Source organism: Homo sapiens, chromosome 3 (genome assembly GCF_000001405.40).
Source record: "Homo sapiens chromosome 3, GRCh38.p14 Primary Assembly".
Lineage (NCBI taxonomy): Eukaryota > Metazoa > Chordata > Mammalia > Primates > Hominidae > Homo > Homo sapiens.
Window position 1 is genome coordinate 107220413 of NC_000003.12, and position 16684 is coordinate 107237096.

The 16684-nt window shown below is 38.7% G+C and overlaps 2 long non-coding RNA genes across 2 annotated transcripts in view, besides 1 other annotated feature; one reads left to right on the plus strand and one right to left on the minus strand.

Moving 5' to 3' along the window:
* The window catches only part of LINC00882 (long intergenic non-protein coding RNA 882), a 130849-nt gene that overhangs the window by 110623 nt on the left and 3542 nt on the right, over window positions 1-16684 (minus strand). The gene's annotated exons all lie outside the window — the stretch shown is intronic.
* Window positions 95-11086, plus strand: LOC124909404 (uncharacterized). Its single transcript, XR_007095994.1, has 2 exons — window positions 95-429; window positions 10456-11086. It is a non-coding gene; the product is annotated as an uncharacterized LOC124909404 (long non-coding RNA).
* Window positions 15522-15571: a silencer, noted in NCBI's record as "silent region_14585". NCBI's record gives its function as "represses an Ori minimal core promoter by ATAC-STARR-seq in GM12878 lymphoblastoid cells {active_cell/tissue: GM12878}" and the evidence as "EXISTENCE:reporter gene assay evidence [ECO:0000049][PMID:35858748]".

Genomic DNA, 16684 nt, shown 5'->3' on the forward strand with positions numbered 1-16684 from the left:
GCAAAGGAGCTGAATTTTTATCAGAATTAAACTCCTAATGAAATGGGAAGTGGCAGTACAGTGCTCAAAAATAAAATCTTCAGAGTCAAGTAAGTTTATCCTTGTTGTGCAGTTTCTCTAACTTCATAGCAGGCCAAAGTATTTCTGTTACTGCATTTTTAACAAACTTTCAGGAAGGTACAGTCCATATCAAATTGCCTCTGAGATTTCCCTAGAGTAGTTCACAATCCTGGAGTATCCAGGAATCTACATATACCCGCATCTGACTGGGAAGCAAGATGAGCTCACAATGAATGCTAAGTTGTAATTCTTACATCTCTTGAGATTTTTCAGATGGTGTGGAATGTGAAGGGTCCTGGAGGTCTGCCAGAGTGGATCTCCATCCTGCAGGGGCTGAGGCACCCAGCTGCTACCAGTACTACCACCATGGTGAGTTCTGTGTCCCAAACAAAAGTTTGGGAACTGGCTCTAGGCAACAAGAAACTATTGCAAGGTTACAAACAAAACAGTGATTAGATGGTATTTGAAATATTCTTGCTATAGTATTATTATTATTATCATTTCTTATTATTATCACCTCTACAATAACACATTCTCATGTACATTTCCATATGCTTCCAGAATGGGAGGCAGAAAGTGCAGCTACAATTGGTATACATAAAATGAAGCATAAACTTGAGTTGGCAAGTGGGAACGTGTTAGAAGGTTGAAGTTACATCTATCATGTGTGTCACAAAGAGAAAATGATTGACAACTGTTGCTTCAGAGTACTATATTCTATTGAAATGACAAAATAAAAAGAAAGTATTTGTTATATGTCCACTGTATGTAAAGCAATGTGCCAGATATTGATGGATCTATCTATATAGAAACATTAAGAAAAAGCTTACTAGCTTCTCAGGCAAGAACTCTAGGGGAAATATTTTAGATGTGTCACTGCTGTCTAAGGTAGGTCCTCAGCTTTTCTGCTTCAATTTTTTAAAACAAAGTTAACAAACTCTAAATAATTAAAACATAAAGACTCATATTTTATTTTTGTTTAGAATATACGTTTCCTAGTATATTAATATCTACTCTCTATGGTATTGGCTTTTAAGTATCAAGGTATTTGAGTAATCCAATTATTAATCAGAAGATTGTTTGGAAAGCACATAACCAGAAAAAACAGAATTGGCTAATTTTAAAGAACACTGTATGAAACTCTGAAATATGCCTGCTCCCAAATTGCCTATAGACCAAATACACTCATGCCTTTAACACACAGGTTCTCTTTTCCATGAATATAGACATCAACCGCTTACATTCAAATATCCTTTGTTAAATGCTACCACAAAAACCATTACATCCTGAAAGGTAAGTTGCAGCACAAATTTTTAAAATATAGTTTTCATTTACATTGTCATTTTGCCTTCTTGAGGAGATACTTTGTTTGACTTTACTGGAATTATGTATTACTCAACTCTGTAACAGCAACACATTTAGAAAGTAATTTTTAGGATGGACAATGGCCACAGATGCATTCATTCATTTAATAAGCATTTATTGAGCATATGTGCAGGCAGGCTATTGTTCTAGGTACCAGGAATCCAAGCAAAGATGTTTGGGAGACACACAGGTTACAGATAACTACGGTCAGTGTGGTCAGTGCTATGACAGAAAGACATGCCTCAGGAATGCGCCTAATCAAACATGAACAGTTGTGAAGCTTTCCTCATCTTGAAGAAACAGTATGAAGTAACCAGTTGAAAAATCATGCTAAGCTTATCCACAGTGAGCTAATTTTAAAAAACATTTCTATTCAATGGGCAGCCTTTTACTGACTTTGACCACTGATGGGTAGCTCCCATGGGGGATTCAGTAAAGCCCTTATTCACTTACAGGCCTATAATCTAATTAATGCAATAAATATACATCTTAAGTGATGCTTTGGCGGCAAAAACTTGAGATCAAGACCTAGATCTGTTACTTAACAGTTGTGTGATTTTGGACAAGTTAGCATCTCAAAGCCTCAAATTCATCATCTGTATAATGGATAATGATAGTATATACTTCATATAAAATGCTATAAAAATGAATGAAATAATGCAAGTAATGCACTTAGCTTTAGCCCAAGGGCTCAAAAATGTTAGCTATTGCAAAAACATCATTAACATGATTAGTCTTACAATAAATGCACACACATTCAAAAGAGCAAGCAATCATTTCAAAATCTTTTTTTAAAAAAAAGTTAGCAGAGATGCTGATATTTAAGCTAAAACTTGAAGACAGCATCCAAATGTTTATACATGATGGAACAAACAGCAGTGAGAAAATCCAAGAAAATGATAATTTATTCAGAGGGTAATGAGAAGACAATGTTGGCTTGGGCAGAGTTTCTACATGAAGTGAGAGAAGTAGGGCCTGAGTGGTACGCTGCTGCCAGATCCCAAGAGGCCTATGTGCCAGGCAAACGAGCTTGGGCTTTGTCCTGTACATGATGAGGAGCCACTGAAAATTTTTGTCCAGTAATGTAAAACGATCAAAGCAGCATTTTATAAGAAAAATCAGAAAGGGAGAGACCAGTTAGAATGTGACTGCTGGAGTCCTGCTGCCTAGCAATGAGGATATACAATTAAGTCATGAGAAAATAGAAAAAAAATGGACACAGGAAACACTCTGAAGGACAAATAAACAGGACATATTTACTGAATCCCAGTATTGGTCACGATCCTAATCTAAAAAATGTTGCCAAGTCATATTTTCCTAATGAGTATTTAAGTCTGAATTCAAGTTATGAAATTCCAGAGATTCACTGACTCTTCCAGGCATTTTAACGGCTAAGAAGGGTACTTTGCTCACCATGAGCATTAAGTCAGTGTTGGTGTTCAGAATAATGGGGATCAGTATGTATATCGATGTTCATAGCTGCATTATTCACAACCAAATGCCTACCAATGGATGAATGGTTCAACAAAACATTATATATATATAATGTAGATATTATATATATGGATTATTACAACACAACAGATTATTGCTCAGTCTTAAAAGGGAATGGAATTCTGACACCTCATACAACTTGGATGGACCTTGAAAATACTATGCTAAGTGAAATAAGCCAGACACAAAAGGGCAAATACTGTATGATTCCACCTATATGAAGTACCTAGAATAGTCAAATTCATAGAGACAGAAAGTAGAATAGTGGTTAGCAGGCAATGGGGATATGAAGGAATAGGAAGTGTTTGTTTAATGGGTACAGAGTTTCAGTTTAGGATAATAAAAATGTTCCAGAGATGGATGATGGTGGTGATTGTACAACAATGTGAATGTACTTAATATCACTAAACTGTACACTTAAGACTGATTAAAGTGGTAAATTTTATGTCATGTATGTCTTATCACAATAAAAAAATGTGAGTCTGATACCCCGATGCTTACTCAAAACAAGAGAAATGTAATTCTGCCAACCATTTAGCCTAGTGGCTCAGACAAGTAAGACTTCCTGGGTCAGACACCATTAGGTTTTGTCCAACTAGAGAAGTAAAAAAATGCCAATAATCCATCTACATCAAAATGATAATGACATGGTGGCTCAAGGCTCTCTGCTTTTCCTCTGCCCTGTTCTGACACTAAAGGAAAAAGAGAAAGGAAGTCACTCTGTCAAAGTAATCCCTCGCCTTAGTACTTGGTACTTAACACTTGTTGACAAACTCCTTGGGAAAGAAAAAGTAACTTGCCTATCTCTGCCCCTATATCCAGAGCTGTGACAGGTGCTCCACAGATAACATTCACTGAAATTTGAGGGACTAGAACTCAATATGCTTCTATCAATTAAAATGCCCCAAGTGGTGGTTATGCTAGTTGGAATGTGAATACAGAAGACATGCTCTCTGACTTTTAAGATCATATAATCTAGTTGAGGGGATGAGAACTTATAATGACATAATAATGAACATAATATAATTAGCTGCTAAATTGTGTAGTACAGATTATAAGTACTCTAGGAGGTCATAAAAATGTCTAACATCATGTAGAAATGAATAATGAGTTGGGAAATCTTCACTTACTATGTACTTGCAGAAGCAGAGAAAGCTATAAAATGGACTAAAGGCTTTTAAAAGTATCCATTATATTTTAATTTTATGTGTAATACACCTTGTCTACCAAACAGTCCCTTTCTTAACGTTTTTTCTGGATTTTCTTTTTCCTCAGCCTTGCTTACAAGTAATTAGAAAATGCCTCAGAGGACAATAAGTAAATATTCCAACAACCATTCAAAAGAATGTGTAAATTACTGTAAAACAGAGGTACTCAATGAAAATTAGTAACTTCAGTCTTCATAAAATTAAACCTCTTATTCAAAGCTTGATTTGTTCAGACAAAGCCAAGAAGAAATAGATTAACCGACTCCCCTCCTTCCCAAGTGCGGGCTAATGAGATCCAGGGAAAATTTTATTCATTTAGCATCAGAATTCAGACCATTTGCTTGAAAATGGGAATTTCACAGCACTCTGCATGGCATAGATCAAAACAGACATGAGTTTTGTTTCTATAAAGACCCCAACTGTGAGTGTGTGTACCTTTTTGTTCTGGAACCCTAAACATTAAAAGCCATATGGCTATGTAGCTTAAGCAGTGAACTGAAGAAAGTAGGCATTAAATTCTATTTCCTAGACTGCTACCCGCTATAATCTCTCTCATCACTTCCTTCATCCTTTCACCCTAAGGAACTATCAAGCATTCAGCTCTGTTAAATTTCAGTAAATAGAGAGCAACTTGGTATTTCTCAATCAACTACTAGCTTCACATAATACTGGCAAGACATGAGGGTGTTTTAGGTAATCTATTGTGGCATAACAAACTACCTCAATACTAAGTGGCTTAAAACAACAATTTTGTTTTACTCATCATTTTGTGGATCAGTTTAGGACGGGTCAGCTTGGTGGTTCACCACTGATCCACTTGGTGCCAGCTGTTAGCCTGGGCCAGAGGACCAACGTTCAAGATGGCTTCCTTCCTTTAATGTCTTGCACTTCCCATGGTGTTTCTGGTCTCCCTCTCCTCTCTCCCCTCTCCCCTCTCCCCTCTCCATCTCCCTCTCCCTCTCTGTCTCCCTCTCCCTCGGCAGGTCCAGAACTAGTGTGAATCGAGTTAAGAGAGGTGCCTTGGGTGCAAAATTTAAGGGACACTTCTTCTCAGTGTCATGCAAATGCACCTCAGAGCACCTCCTTAAATTTTGTACAAGGCACCTCTCTTGCCTCACCCTGGCCCTGGCCCTGCCTCCAGGGCCTCTCTACATAGCTCCATGGCTCAGGCTTCTTACAGCTTGGTGCTCTCAGGGTAGGAAAGGGGCAGGAAAAGTCTATGCGTATATTAATAATTGGCAAGGTGTCACTTTCACCCTATTCTATTGGTCAAAACAGTCACTGGGTCTGCCCGGATGCACAGGTAGAGAAACAGATACTACCTATTGATAAGGCTGTGAGAAGATCTCATTACAAAGAGCAAGTGGTATGAGAGACATTGCTGCAGCCATCTTTGAAAAAATACATTCTTCTACATCTTCCCTTATAAACTATCCTTCACTTTATCCATGGAACACTGCTGTGATATCCTCATTAATATCCTCATCTCTAAACTTCATTTTCAGCTCAGCATGCTATAGCATACCTCCACCAGACCTTCCTGTTATTATCTCATTAGCACCCTTACTTAAAGTTTCTAGTGGCCCCCGACTTATAAATAAAACCCACACTCTTCCACCTTCATTTAAAGTGTTTCATAATTTGGTCCATCTCACCTGTTATGGATTGAATTGTTTCCGCTAAAAGATATGTTCAAGGCATAACTCCTGGCTATGGTTTGAAAGTTTCTCCACCAAAATTCAAGTGCTGCCAATGTGATAGTATTAAGAGGTATTGCCTCTAAAAGGTGATTAGGCATGAGAGCTCCTCCCTTGTGAATGAGATTAGTTGCTCTTATAAAAGGGCTTGATGGAGAGAGTTCATCCTTTTTTGCCATTTTGTCTTCTGCTGTGTGAAGACACAGCATTCATCCTCTCTAGAGGATGCAGCATTCCAGGCGCCATCTTGGAGGCAGAGACTGGACCATCACTGGACAATAAACCCGCTGGTGCCTTGATCTTGGACTTCACAGCCTCTAGAACTATGAGAAATAAATTTCTGGTCTTTATGAATTACTGAGTCTATGGTATTTTGTTATGGCAGCACAAACAGACTAAATTACCCAGACCTGTAAATGTGAGCTTCTTTGGAAATGTGGTTTTTGCAGATGTCATCAAGTAAAAGTGAGGTCACACTGGATTAAGTCAGGCCCTAATCTCATGACTAGTGTCTTTATTGAAAAAAAAAAAAAAGAGAGATAGAGAGAGAGAGATTTGGACACAGAGATACAGAGGAGACACAGGAAGGAAGGTCATGTGAAGACAATGGCAGAGATTGGAGGGATGCATATAAAAGCCAAAGAATGCCAATGATTGCCAAGAGACAAAGATAGAAAGAGACAAAGGAAGATTCTTCTCCAGAGCCTTGATAGGTAGCATGGATGGCCAGGTCAAAACCTTGATTTCAAACTTCTGGCCTCCTGACTATGGAAGAGCAAATTTCTTTGCTCTTCTTTGTTTTCAGCCACAAAGTTTGTGGTAATTTGGCATAGCAGCCCTAGGAAACTAACATACCATCTATCCAGGTCTACCTCTCCCACGGCTTCCAAACATTCACCCTTCATACAGACAGAGGTCTCTTCCCTGTCTCCATCTTCCAATTCATTACCACACCTGTTTGTCCTTTCCTTCTTCTATAAGTAGCAAAGCATAGCAGTGTGCACAGCTATAAATTGTCTCTGAGTTAGAACTGTCTTCTTCTACTGTTCTGGTGGGCAGGGCACTTGTCCCAAGTGCTGAGTCAGAGTACACTTGGTACAGAGGCATTTCATGCATTTGTTAACTAAAATAAAAAGTGAATAGATATTAAGGTTTTTTAGTAAGTGCTTAGAGTTATAAATAGAATTACCTATCACATTGTTTATTGAAAACAATTGTTTAGGTGACACAGCAATTTATAGAAAACAGATCTGCAAAGCTATAGAAGTCCTTCCTTAGCTATCTACCACCTACCTGTCGTAAATTATATAAATTACAGTGGCTTTAATTAACTGGACCAAAAATGACTTCCAAATAGTAATTCAATAACCTAGACCTCTAGCAAGGTTGCCCCCATTATTATCATTTTGATGGTTGGAACAGTATATGAAAAGCTCCTTAAGGAATTAGAGAGATCATCTATATTCTTTTTAAATAACAATAGGGATTAGACAGTTTATAGTACATATTGGTCACACAGTTATGAGTATAAATCATGCCACAGATTTGAAAGACAGTATCTGATATGCGAAAGAAATTGTTCTGTGATGGCTGATCTACAGCTGGAGCCTGGACACCCTGGTTATGTGTATGTTCCACATCTTAGCAGACAACCTGGAAGGCATTCAGAGGAGTGAGCAAAATGGTGAAGAGGCTTGAGGAACAGCAGAGTAATGCAGTGATGTTTCAGTTGAAGAACAGATGTCTCAGAAGAAATTCAATTTCGTTCATGTATAAGAAATATTTTTCTAAAAAATAATTATGCTTACTTCTTTGTACCCTAAATAGAAAAGCTAAGCCAATAAATGAAAGATAAAGATAAATTTTGAATTGTCATAAGATTCCTAAAAATAAGGTTAGTAATTGTGAATTGTCCCTGGAAATGTTCACGCAAAGGTCTGTAACTTCTCAACAAGAATATCTCATTTATCTTTGTAGTCCTCATGCATAGCACAGTTCCAACATATAATAACTGATCAATATACATCTGATAAATAAAGTGAAATTCAAGTAACTGATGGTAGTTTGGATTAAATGTTTCCTTACAAACCTAGGATTCCCATATTTTAGGATTCCAAAATAAGCTCAACTATGAGTCACTAATTTTTCCTTTCAATGTGTCACATAGTCATAATTTCCTTTATACTGGATGTGTACTCCTCAGGAAATTAAAGAAGGATCCCAAACATCTTATTGGGAACATTTTAGGTAGTACCATGCAGTAATTAAGTGCAAAATATGAAACACTTAAGAAACTTCAAAGGCACATATTTACACATATACTATTAATCTAAAATTTCCCTCATTCAAGGCAAAAATGGGCCGCAATTTACCAAATCTGTATCACAGACATTATGCTTAGTGCTTTAATATTCATTCAAAAGTATTTATTGAACACTGACTGTGTGCCACACACATGTAATATTTATAACCAATTTAGCAAGGTAGGTATTAATATCTCCATATGAAAGCCAAAGGAGTTATGTAACTTGTCCAAGTTCAGGCACCGCAAGTCCATATACAGCCTTTGTACAAATTTAAAAAAAAACAGCTGGGTGCAACGGCTCACGCCTGTAATCCCAGCACTTTGGGAGGCCAAGGCAGGTGGATCACGAGGTCAGGAAATAGAGACCATCCTGGACAACATGGTAAAACCCTGTCTCTACTAAAAATACAAAAATTAGCCAGGTGTGGTGGCACGCATCTGTAATCCCAGCTACTCGGGAGGCTGAGGTAGGAGAATTGCTTGAACCCAGGAGTCGGAGGTTGCAGTGAGCCAAGATCGTGCCACTGCACTCCAGACTGGCAACAGAGCGAGACTCCGTCTCAAAAACAAAACAAAACAAAATAAAAAAACAACGTACCTCTTCATCAAATGTTATCCCATCTGTAATAAAAGTGGCCATAATATATTGATTTTATTAAAACCAGACACTTTACTGCTCACAAAATTATCTTAATAAATAACCAAATTTATAATGTCTATAAGTAGCATACACTTTAGATGTGTTTTTTTGTGGAATTCACAATCCACTCAACAGTAAATGACAATCCTGTATGAGCTATAAGGACAGAACCAGAAATTTCACTCCAAAGTACCATCATTTACTCCCACCCTAAATGAGAATGATCAGTAATTTCACATAAATTCTGGCTGCATATGACTGCTGTCTCCGTTCAGCACTGTTTCATTCTCAAAGTACTCATAAAATGTATTTCTGTGGACATAAACCCACTGAATACATGGAAAGCAATTAATACTGGATGGCTACGAAGGTTTCTCAAGAGAACCCCTCATCAGCCTCTCCAGGCAAGAACTGCTTCTCCAAAGCCTGATTTTACCTACTAGGAAATTGAAAAATATTCTTAAGAATAGTATAAAACAGTTGTTCTCATAAATATCACCCAAATAACTCAATCTAAACCTTAAGGTCTAATTATTACAAAAATGACTTGAATCAGATTTCACTCTGATGTGAAACTGCTTCAGCTCAGTATTCAGTCAAATTATGGAAGATATTAAGATAAGAGGGGTTCTGCCTTTTCCTAGAGATGATATGCCAGAGTGTGAAATGGCCTTAACACCCATTGAGAATAAAAATGCCCTTAGATAGAGCAATGCATGTGTACATGATGCTTTACTCATCCAAGCCACTCTTTTTGGGTTTCTATTGTGTTGTAGGTTTTGTGTTAGGTGCTGAGGACACAGTAACAATCAGATCGATCCAGACCACACTGTGCTCTCATTCCAGCTGACAAAATTGTCAAAAAAGAAAAATGCAATAAGTGCTACAACAGAGATCTAGACAAAGTGTAGCAGGGCCACTTGGTGGGACCCTGCTTTGTCCCACACACAGAATTTCTTGGAATTTAGGTAAATAGAGCTCATGATAATGTAAGTAAGCTTTAAAATTAACTTAAAAACCTATCCCAGGCCTGGTGCAGTGGCTCATGCCTATAATCCCAGCACTTTGGGAGGCTGAGGCCGGCGGATCACCTGAGGTCAGGAGTTCGAGGCCAGCCTGACCAAATCCGTCAGCCTGACGGAGAAACCCCATCTCTACTAAAAATACAAAATTAGCCAGGCATGGTGGCACATGCCTGTAATCCCAGCTACTCGGGAGGCTGAGGCAGAAGAATCGCTTGAATCCAGGAGGCGGAGGTTGCAGTGAGCCAAGATCGCACCACTGCACTCCAGCCTGGGCAACAAGAGCAAAATTCTGTCTCAAAAACAAAACAAAACAAAACAAAAAAACAATCCCTACCATCATACCATCATATTTGGCTCATCAATTATTATATCTAATATATAATAGATGTAAAATGAATAAATAAATGAACTTTCCAGCTTACAAATTAGACTTGGGCTATAAGCAAGCATCTACATCAATTATAAAAGAAGTGTTCATGAATACAAAATATTTTTAAATACCCAAAAGCCTAAGGCAATTTGAATTGAGGAGAGATGCAATTTAAATACAAACCTCATACTGACCAACTTAAAAGATACATAAATTATTTGTGTTGTCTATTTGGGCTACTTAATCATGTATTTTCAGCATCTCAGTAACACAGTTTTTTTTTTTTTTCAGTCACGTGGACCTTCTTTTTTCTTCTAAATCTCAACCATATTATCTATATGGCTGTGCAAGGAAGATCAATAAGGAGGAGCTCTAACAATTTCCATTGGTTTTCTGCAATCCAAACCGAGATGATCCAGGCTTAAACAAGACGTAGGGAGTCTAGGGGTAGAGAAAGGCTGATTCTTTGCTGTATCTTACAGGAGGTCTACGCTTATGAATTCCAGCTTTTCAGGTGGATAATTTGACATGAAGGTTTGTTCTTTGAACATTTTTAATCATTCTATCCTGCCTCCCAAGGCTCCCAAGAGACATTTTACTGAAATAGAAGTAAAATGCTAAATACTTTACTCACCTTTTCCTCTAATTCTGTGTTTTGACCTTTTTTAAGTTTTCATCTCACATGCTATTATAAATAACCTGAGGACAGGAACATAGTCTGTGCAGTTCTCTCTAATCAGCATCTATTCCAGCACCCTATGCAATGAAACACTCACAAAATATTTCCTAGTGATTAGACAATAGTTTACTGTCTAATTGAAATGAAACTCAAAAGTTGGGACCTTGTTTTAACATACTTTATGCAATGTCTGATGTGAAGGAAAATCACAAAATATGAGAATTAAAAGAAGCCTTGAAACTATTTTGTTATTATCAACAATTTATTTTTTTAACCCTGTGAACTTCCTCCATCCAAATTTCTACCACTACCACGTAACAGAAAATAGTTCCAAACTTTCTATGAAGAGTCCCTGGAACCATAGAAGGGGAAGAAAAGAGATCATATACACCACAATACATTTGCAGAGAAGATCCACTTCTCAGTAACTTAATGAAATTTTGGAACCACTTAGGGCTACAACTTTGTTAGATATTAGTATTCAATACAATTTAAGTAAAACAAATAAGAGCAGACAATTTGGGTTGCAAACAGTTCAGAAGGCAAAACCAAGTTTCAATTAACTGTAAATTTTGTACAGCGAAACACTAGTAAGTTAGTTCTTGATTCTAAAAAAAAGTAAGTTTAAATTTCTTTTTCTAAACTTATCGGCTCTCCGGGATTGATAAAAAATGCAAATTCCCACCCTATCTTTGGTAGGTGCGTGTACACAGATCTGACAAGAAACTACACAAAGGGAAATGTTAAAAGTTGATCCTTCTTAGCAACATAAGAAAACCATTAAAGAGAAATATTTCCGCAGATACTTACAAGGTGAAATTTTTGTGTTCTAGCTTTTTTCACTAATGAACTTTCTCATTGCCCCTAAGAGTCTGAATACAAACAAATATTTCTAGTTCTTCCTATAGGTCTACATAAATTCCCTCCAACTTCACTTTTCTCCTTTCCTGAAATCAAATGTACAACTGTTTTACATAGGAGCAGCATAATGCTAGGCAATTAGTAAGTGTGTTGGTGTTCATAACAGAGATTTATTGCAACTATATGCAAACATTGTACTATGGATTGAGCAAAATTACATAAACAGAATAGCCAGTATTCCTGATTTGAAATTTAAATATCAATACAAATAAAATGAAATAGTAAAGAGTAGAACGGAGAAATGGGAGGGGATGTGGATGGGATGCGGGGGAGGGGATAGGATAAACTGATAGAATAAAAGATAATGGGGAGATTATTTTCTTACTCTTGGCCCCACCTCACTCTTCCATGATTATCATGCTATGGTTCTACAGTTTTCTAAATTACTATAAAAGTCTTAAAGACATAGCCTGCCCTGTGTTTCTTCTCATCTTTAGCACTGCCCAAATGGAGAATATAACTTTGAGAAAATAAATATTAATAAGTGATATGGTTTGGCTATGCCCCCACTCAAATCTCATCTTGAATTCCCACGTGTTGTGGGAGGGACCCAGTGGGAAGTAACTGAATCATGGGGGCAAGTCTTTCCCATGCTGTTCTCTTGATAGTAAGTTTCATGAGATCTGATGGTTTTAAAAAGAGGAATTCCCCAGGCTTCCCCGGCCACATGGAACTAATCCAGTTAAACCCTTTTCTTTTGTAAATTGCCCAGTCTCAGGTATGTCTTTATCAGCAGCATGAAAAATGGACTAATACAGTAAATTGGTACCAGTAGAGTGGGGTGTGGCTGAAAAGACACCCAAAAATGTGAAAGCAACTTTGGAACTGGGTAATAGGTAGAGGTTAGAACAGTTTGGAGGGCTCATAGGAAGACAGGAAAATGTGGGACACTTTGGAACTTCCTAAAGACTTGTTGAATGGCTTTGACCAAAAGCCTGATAGCAACATAGATAATAAGGTCCAAGCTGAGGTGGTCTCAGATGGAGATGAGGGACTTGTTGGGAACTGGAGCAAAGGTAACTCTTGTTATGTTTTAGCAAAGAGACTGGCAGCATTTTGCTCCTGCCCTAGAGATTTGTGGAACTTTGAACTTGAGAGAGATGATTTAGGGTATCTGGCAGAAGAAATTTCTAAGCAGCAAAGCATTTAAGATGTGACTTCAGTGCTATTAAATGCATTCAGTTTATAAGGGAAGCAGAGCATAAAAAGTTTGGAAAATTTGCAGCTTGACAATGTGATAGAAAAGAAAAACCCATTTTCTGAGGAGAAATTCAAACTGGCTGCAGAAATTTGCATAAGTAACGAGGAGCTGAATGTTAATCCCCAAGACAATGGGAAAGGTGTCTCCAGGGCAAGTCAGAGGTCTTCATGGCAGTCCCTCCCATCACAGGCCAGAAGGCCTGGGAGAAAATGGTTACCTGGGCCAGGCCCAGGGTCCCCATTCTGTGTGCAGCCTAGGGACTTGGTGCCCTGAGTCCCAGGCACTCCAGCGGTGAGTAATAGGGGCCAAGGTACAGCTCAGGCTGTTTCTTCAGAGAGTGCAAGCCCCAAACCTGGGCAGCTTCCATGTGGTGTTGGGCCTGTGGGTGCTTACAAGTCAAGATTTGAGGTTTGGGAACCTCCACCTAGATTTCAGAAGATGTATGGAAATGTCTGGATGCCCAGGCAAAAGTTTGCTGCAGGGGTGGGGCCCTCATGGAGAACCTCTGCTAGGGCAGTGTGGAAGGGAAATGTGGGGTCAGAGCCCCCATACAGAGTCCCTACTGAGGCACAGCCTAGTGGAGCTGTGAGAAGAGGACCATCATCCTCCAGACCCCAGAATGGTGGATCCACCAACAGCTTGTGCCGTGTGCCTGGAAAAACCATAGACACTCAAGGCCAGTCCCTGAAAACAGCCAGGAGGAGTGCTGTACCCTGCAAAGCCACAGGGGCGGAGCTGCCCAAGACCATGGGAACCTACCTCTTGTGTGAGCATGACCTGGATGTGAGACATGGAGTGAAAAAAGATCATTTTGGAGCTTTAAGATTTGACTGCCCCGCTGGATTTCGGACTTGCATGGGGCCTGTAGCAACTTTCTTTTGGCCAATGTCTCCCATTTGGAATGGCTACCCAATGCCTGTACCCACATTGTATCCAGGAAGTAACTAACTTGCTTTTGATTTTACAGGCTCATAGGCAGAAGGGACTTGCCTTGTATCAGATGTGGACTTTTGAGTGAATGCTGAAATGAGTTAAGACTTTGGGGGACTGTTGAAAAGGCATGATTGATTTTGAAATGTGAGGACATGAGATTTGGGAGGAGCCAGGGGAGGAATGATATGGTTTGGCTGTGTCCCCACCCAAATCGCATCTTTAATTCTCACGTGTTGTGGGAGGGACCTGGTGGGAGGTAATTGAATCACGCGGGCAAGTCTTTCCCATGCTGTTCTCATGATATGAAAAAGTTTCATGAGATCTAATGGTTTTAAAAAGAGGAATTCCCGTGCACAAGCTCTCTCTCTTTGCTTGCTGCCATCCACGTAAGACATGACTTGCTCTTCCTTGCCTTCTGTCATGATTGTAAAGCTTCCCCTGCCACGTGGAAGTTTAAGTCCAATTAAACCTCTTTCTTTTGTAAATTGCCCAGTCTCAGGTATGTCTTTATTACTAGCATGAAAACAGACTAATACAATATGTCATACAAGAGAAATAGGAAATGATAGCACTAAAAGCAATGCTATGAACGTAACAGCCCCAAGCATTAAGGAATCAGGTTATTAATTGTTACCTGAAATAAACCATGTAAATGTTTTCTCAAAGTTTTATTTTTTAAAATCCATCATTGTGCCTTTGAAGTAGGAACTTTGGAAGTTTTAGAAGTGACACTCCTATAGTACTTATAGCAAAAACTACATCTTTCACGAGCAGTTTGGACTGGATTTCTACATCTATCATAACATGGATACATTTAATTTTCTAAATATCGAACGTTTCTTCTCCAGTCGTGTTCCTCATGGAGAAAGAGTCCCAGCAAAAAAACAAATGCTGAAGCAAGGCCCCAAGCTTCTAACTACTTTTGCTGAGTGACGGGGAACGCTAGCACCTTATTAGTTAATCCCAAGGGGAAGGTCTGCCATGCAGGAACTAGCAGCCCTCAGAGTCTAAAACGTGGAACATATAACATCCTACTCGCATGCTCACACATACGCATTTGCACATGGGCTGACTTACATCCAGGAGACAGCCCCTGAGCTCTTTACAAATTGCAGAGAAGCCCAGGAAATCAGCTCTAAAGATGATGTGCCTCTGCTCTGCTTCAGAGGCTCCAACTCATCCTAACTGCCCTGAGAGGTTTCCATGATCAAATCCAGGAGCAGGAGGCAGAAGAGCTGAGGCTCACAAATGGCCCATCCGGGCTTTTCCGTGGAGCCCGTTTCTGCCCGACCCCCCTGAGGAATGTAAACGATCTGTTCAGGACTGAACTGCTTTACCCTCGAGGATGTAAATTATTCATTACCCCCTCCTTCTTGCACATTTTGCCTTTCATTTGCTCCATCTACTCCCTGCTCTATCTTTACTAATTTATCTCTAAGCTACCTCAATTGCCTTCTGCTCTGCTCCCCTCAGAAACTTAAAAACGAAACCGGATTCATTAGCCAAATAACTGGATTAGAGTTCTCTTCAACATATCAGGCAGTAGAGAAAGTTGCTTTGTAATTTCTTTGATATTCAGCCTTTTAGAAAGCAATTCCTTAAATTACTCTGTTTAAATCTTTGAACTACTTAACTTTCTTTGATAGCACGCTAACATTGCACTAAAACCTGTGCAATGTTATGAAAACTTTAATTTCTGTAGTCAGTGCTTCCACATGAACAGCAGGGGGCAGTAGGATATCACGAATTGAAAAAATTGTCCTGGGCTCTGAGAAACACTGTTGAATTACTGCAGTGGGTCTGTGTACTCGTGATGATCTCAGCTCTCGGATGAAGTCTTTTGTTTTGTGTCCTATTTTACAATGCACCGTTCAGTTTTCTATATGAGTTGTGGCTTAGTCACAGTATTTCACTGTGACAGCTTAGCTTAAGAAAAAGAAAGGTGCAGGAGAAAAAAAAAAGGAGGAAAAGAGAAAGAGAACATGTAAATGCTTCCAAATAAAACACATCATGAAAAGGAAAAAGTAATCCTGTGTATACATATAAAGTTTGTCCCTTCTCTGTTCCTATCCTGGACACAGTTTTTCTAGATTACAGACTGAATTCATCCCTAGTCCTCCCCAACACACACACACACACGCACACATTTGCCATATAGTTTTCTGTCAAAACAGATTTCCTATAAAAAGAAAAACAAAAAATACAAAAAACTCTTTAAAAACTAATACTTGACTTTTTTAAAAAATTCAAAAAAATCTCTCATTTTCTGTCCTTTAATCAAGCTTCTGAGTATAGAATTTTAGTGTTTTCATGCTTTTTGAACATGTATTAGTCAAAATACCTTTCATTAATATGAATGTTGCAATAAAATTCTTCCTCTGTAAATGTACAGCTTCAGATAAATAGCCAAAAGCTATAGTTGTTATCTATATCTGATATGTTTGGAGGTAGGATATGAACTACAAACTGAAATATGAGAGACTTGAAGAACAGTCAAGGATTCCTGCAATCGTATGGGTTGGGAAAGGTGCTTTAGTAATCCAACCCCCAAAGTTAGCAAATACGAAGCTACTTTCATGCATAATTTGAGTTGTACCCAAAATATCATACCCGCAAGCCTAGTTTCCTCTCCTACCTAGGCTGGAATTCCCAGGGTTATTTATGTGTTCTCATAGAGTTATTAATTTATTACTGTGGTATGGCAGATGTATTATTTCAACATCTGGTACCAAAATTTCTCTTGAAGGAGGGACTCTCTGCTCCCTACTGACAGGGCCCTATCTGAT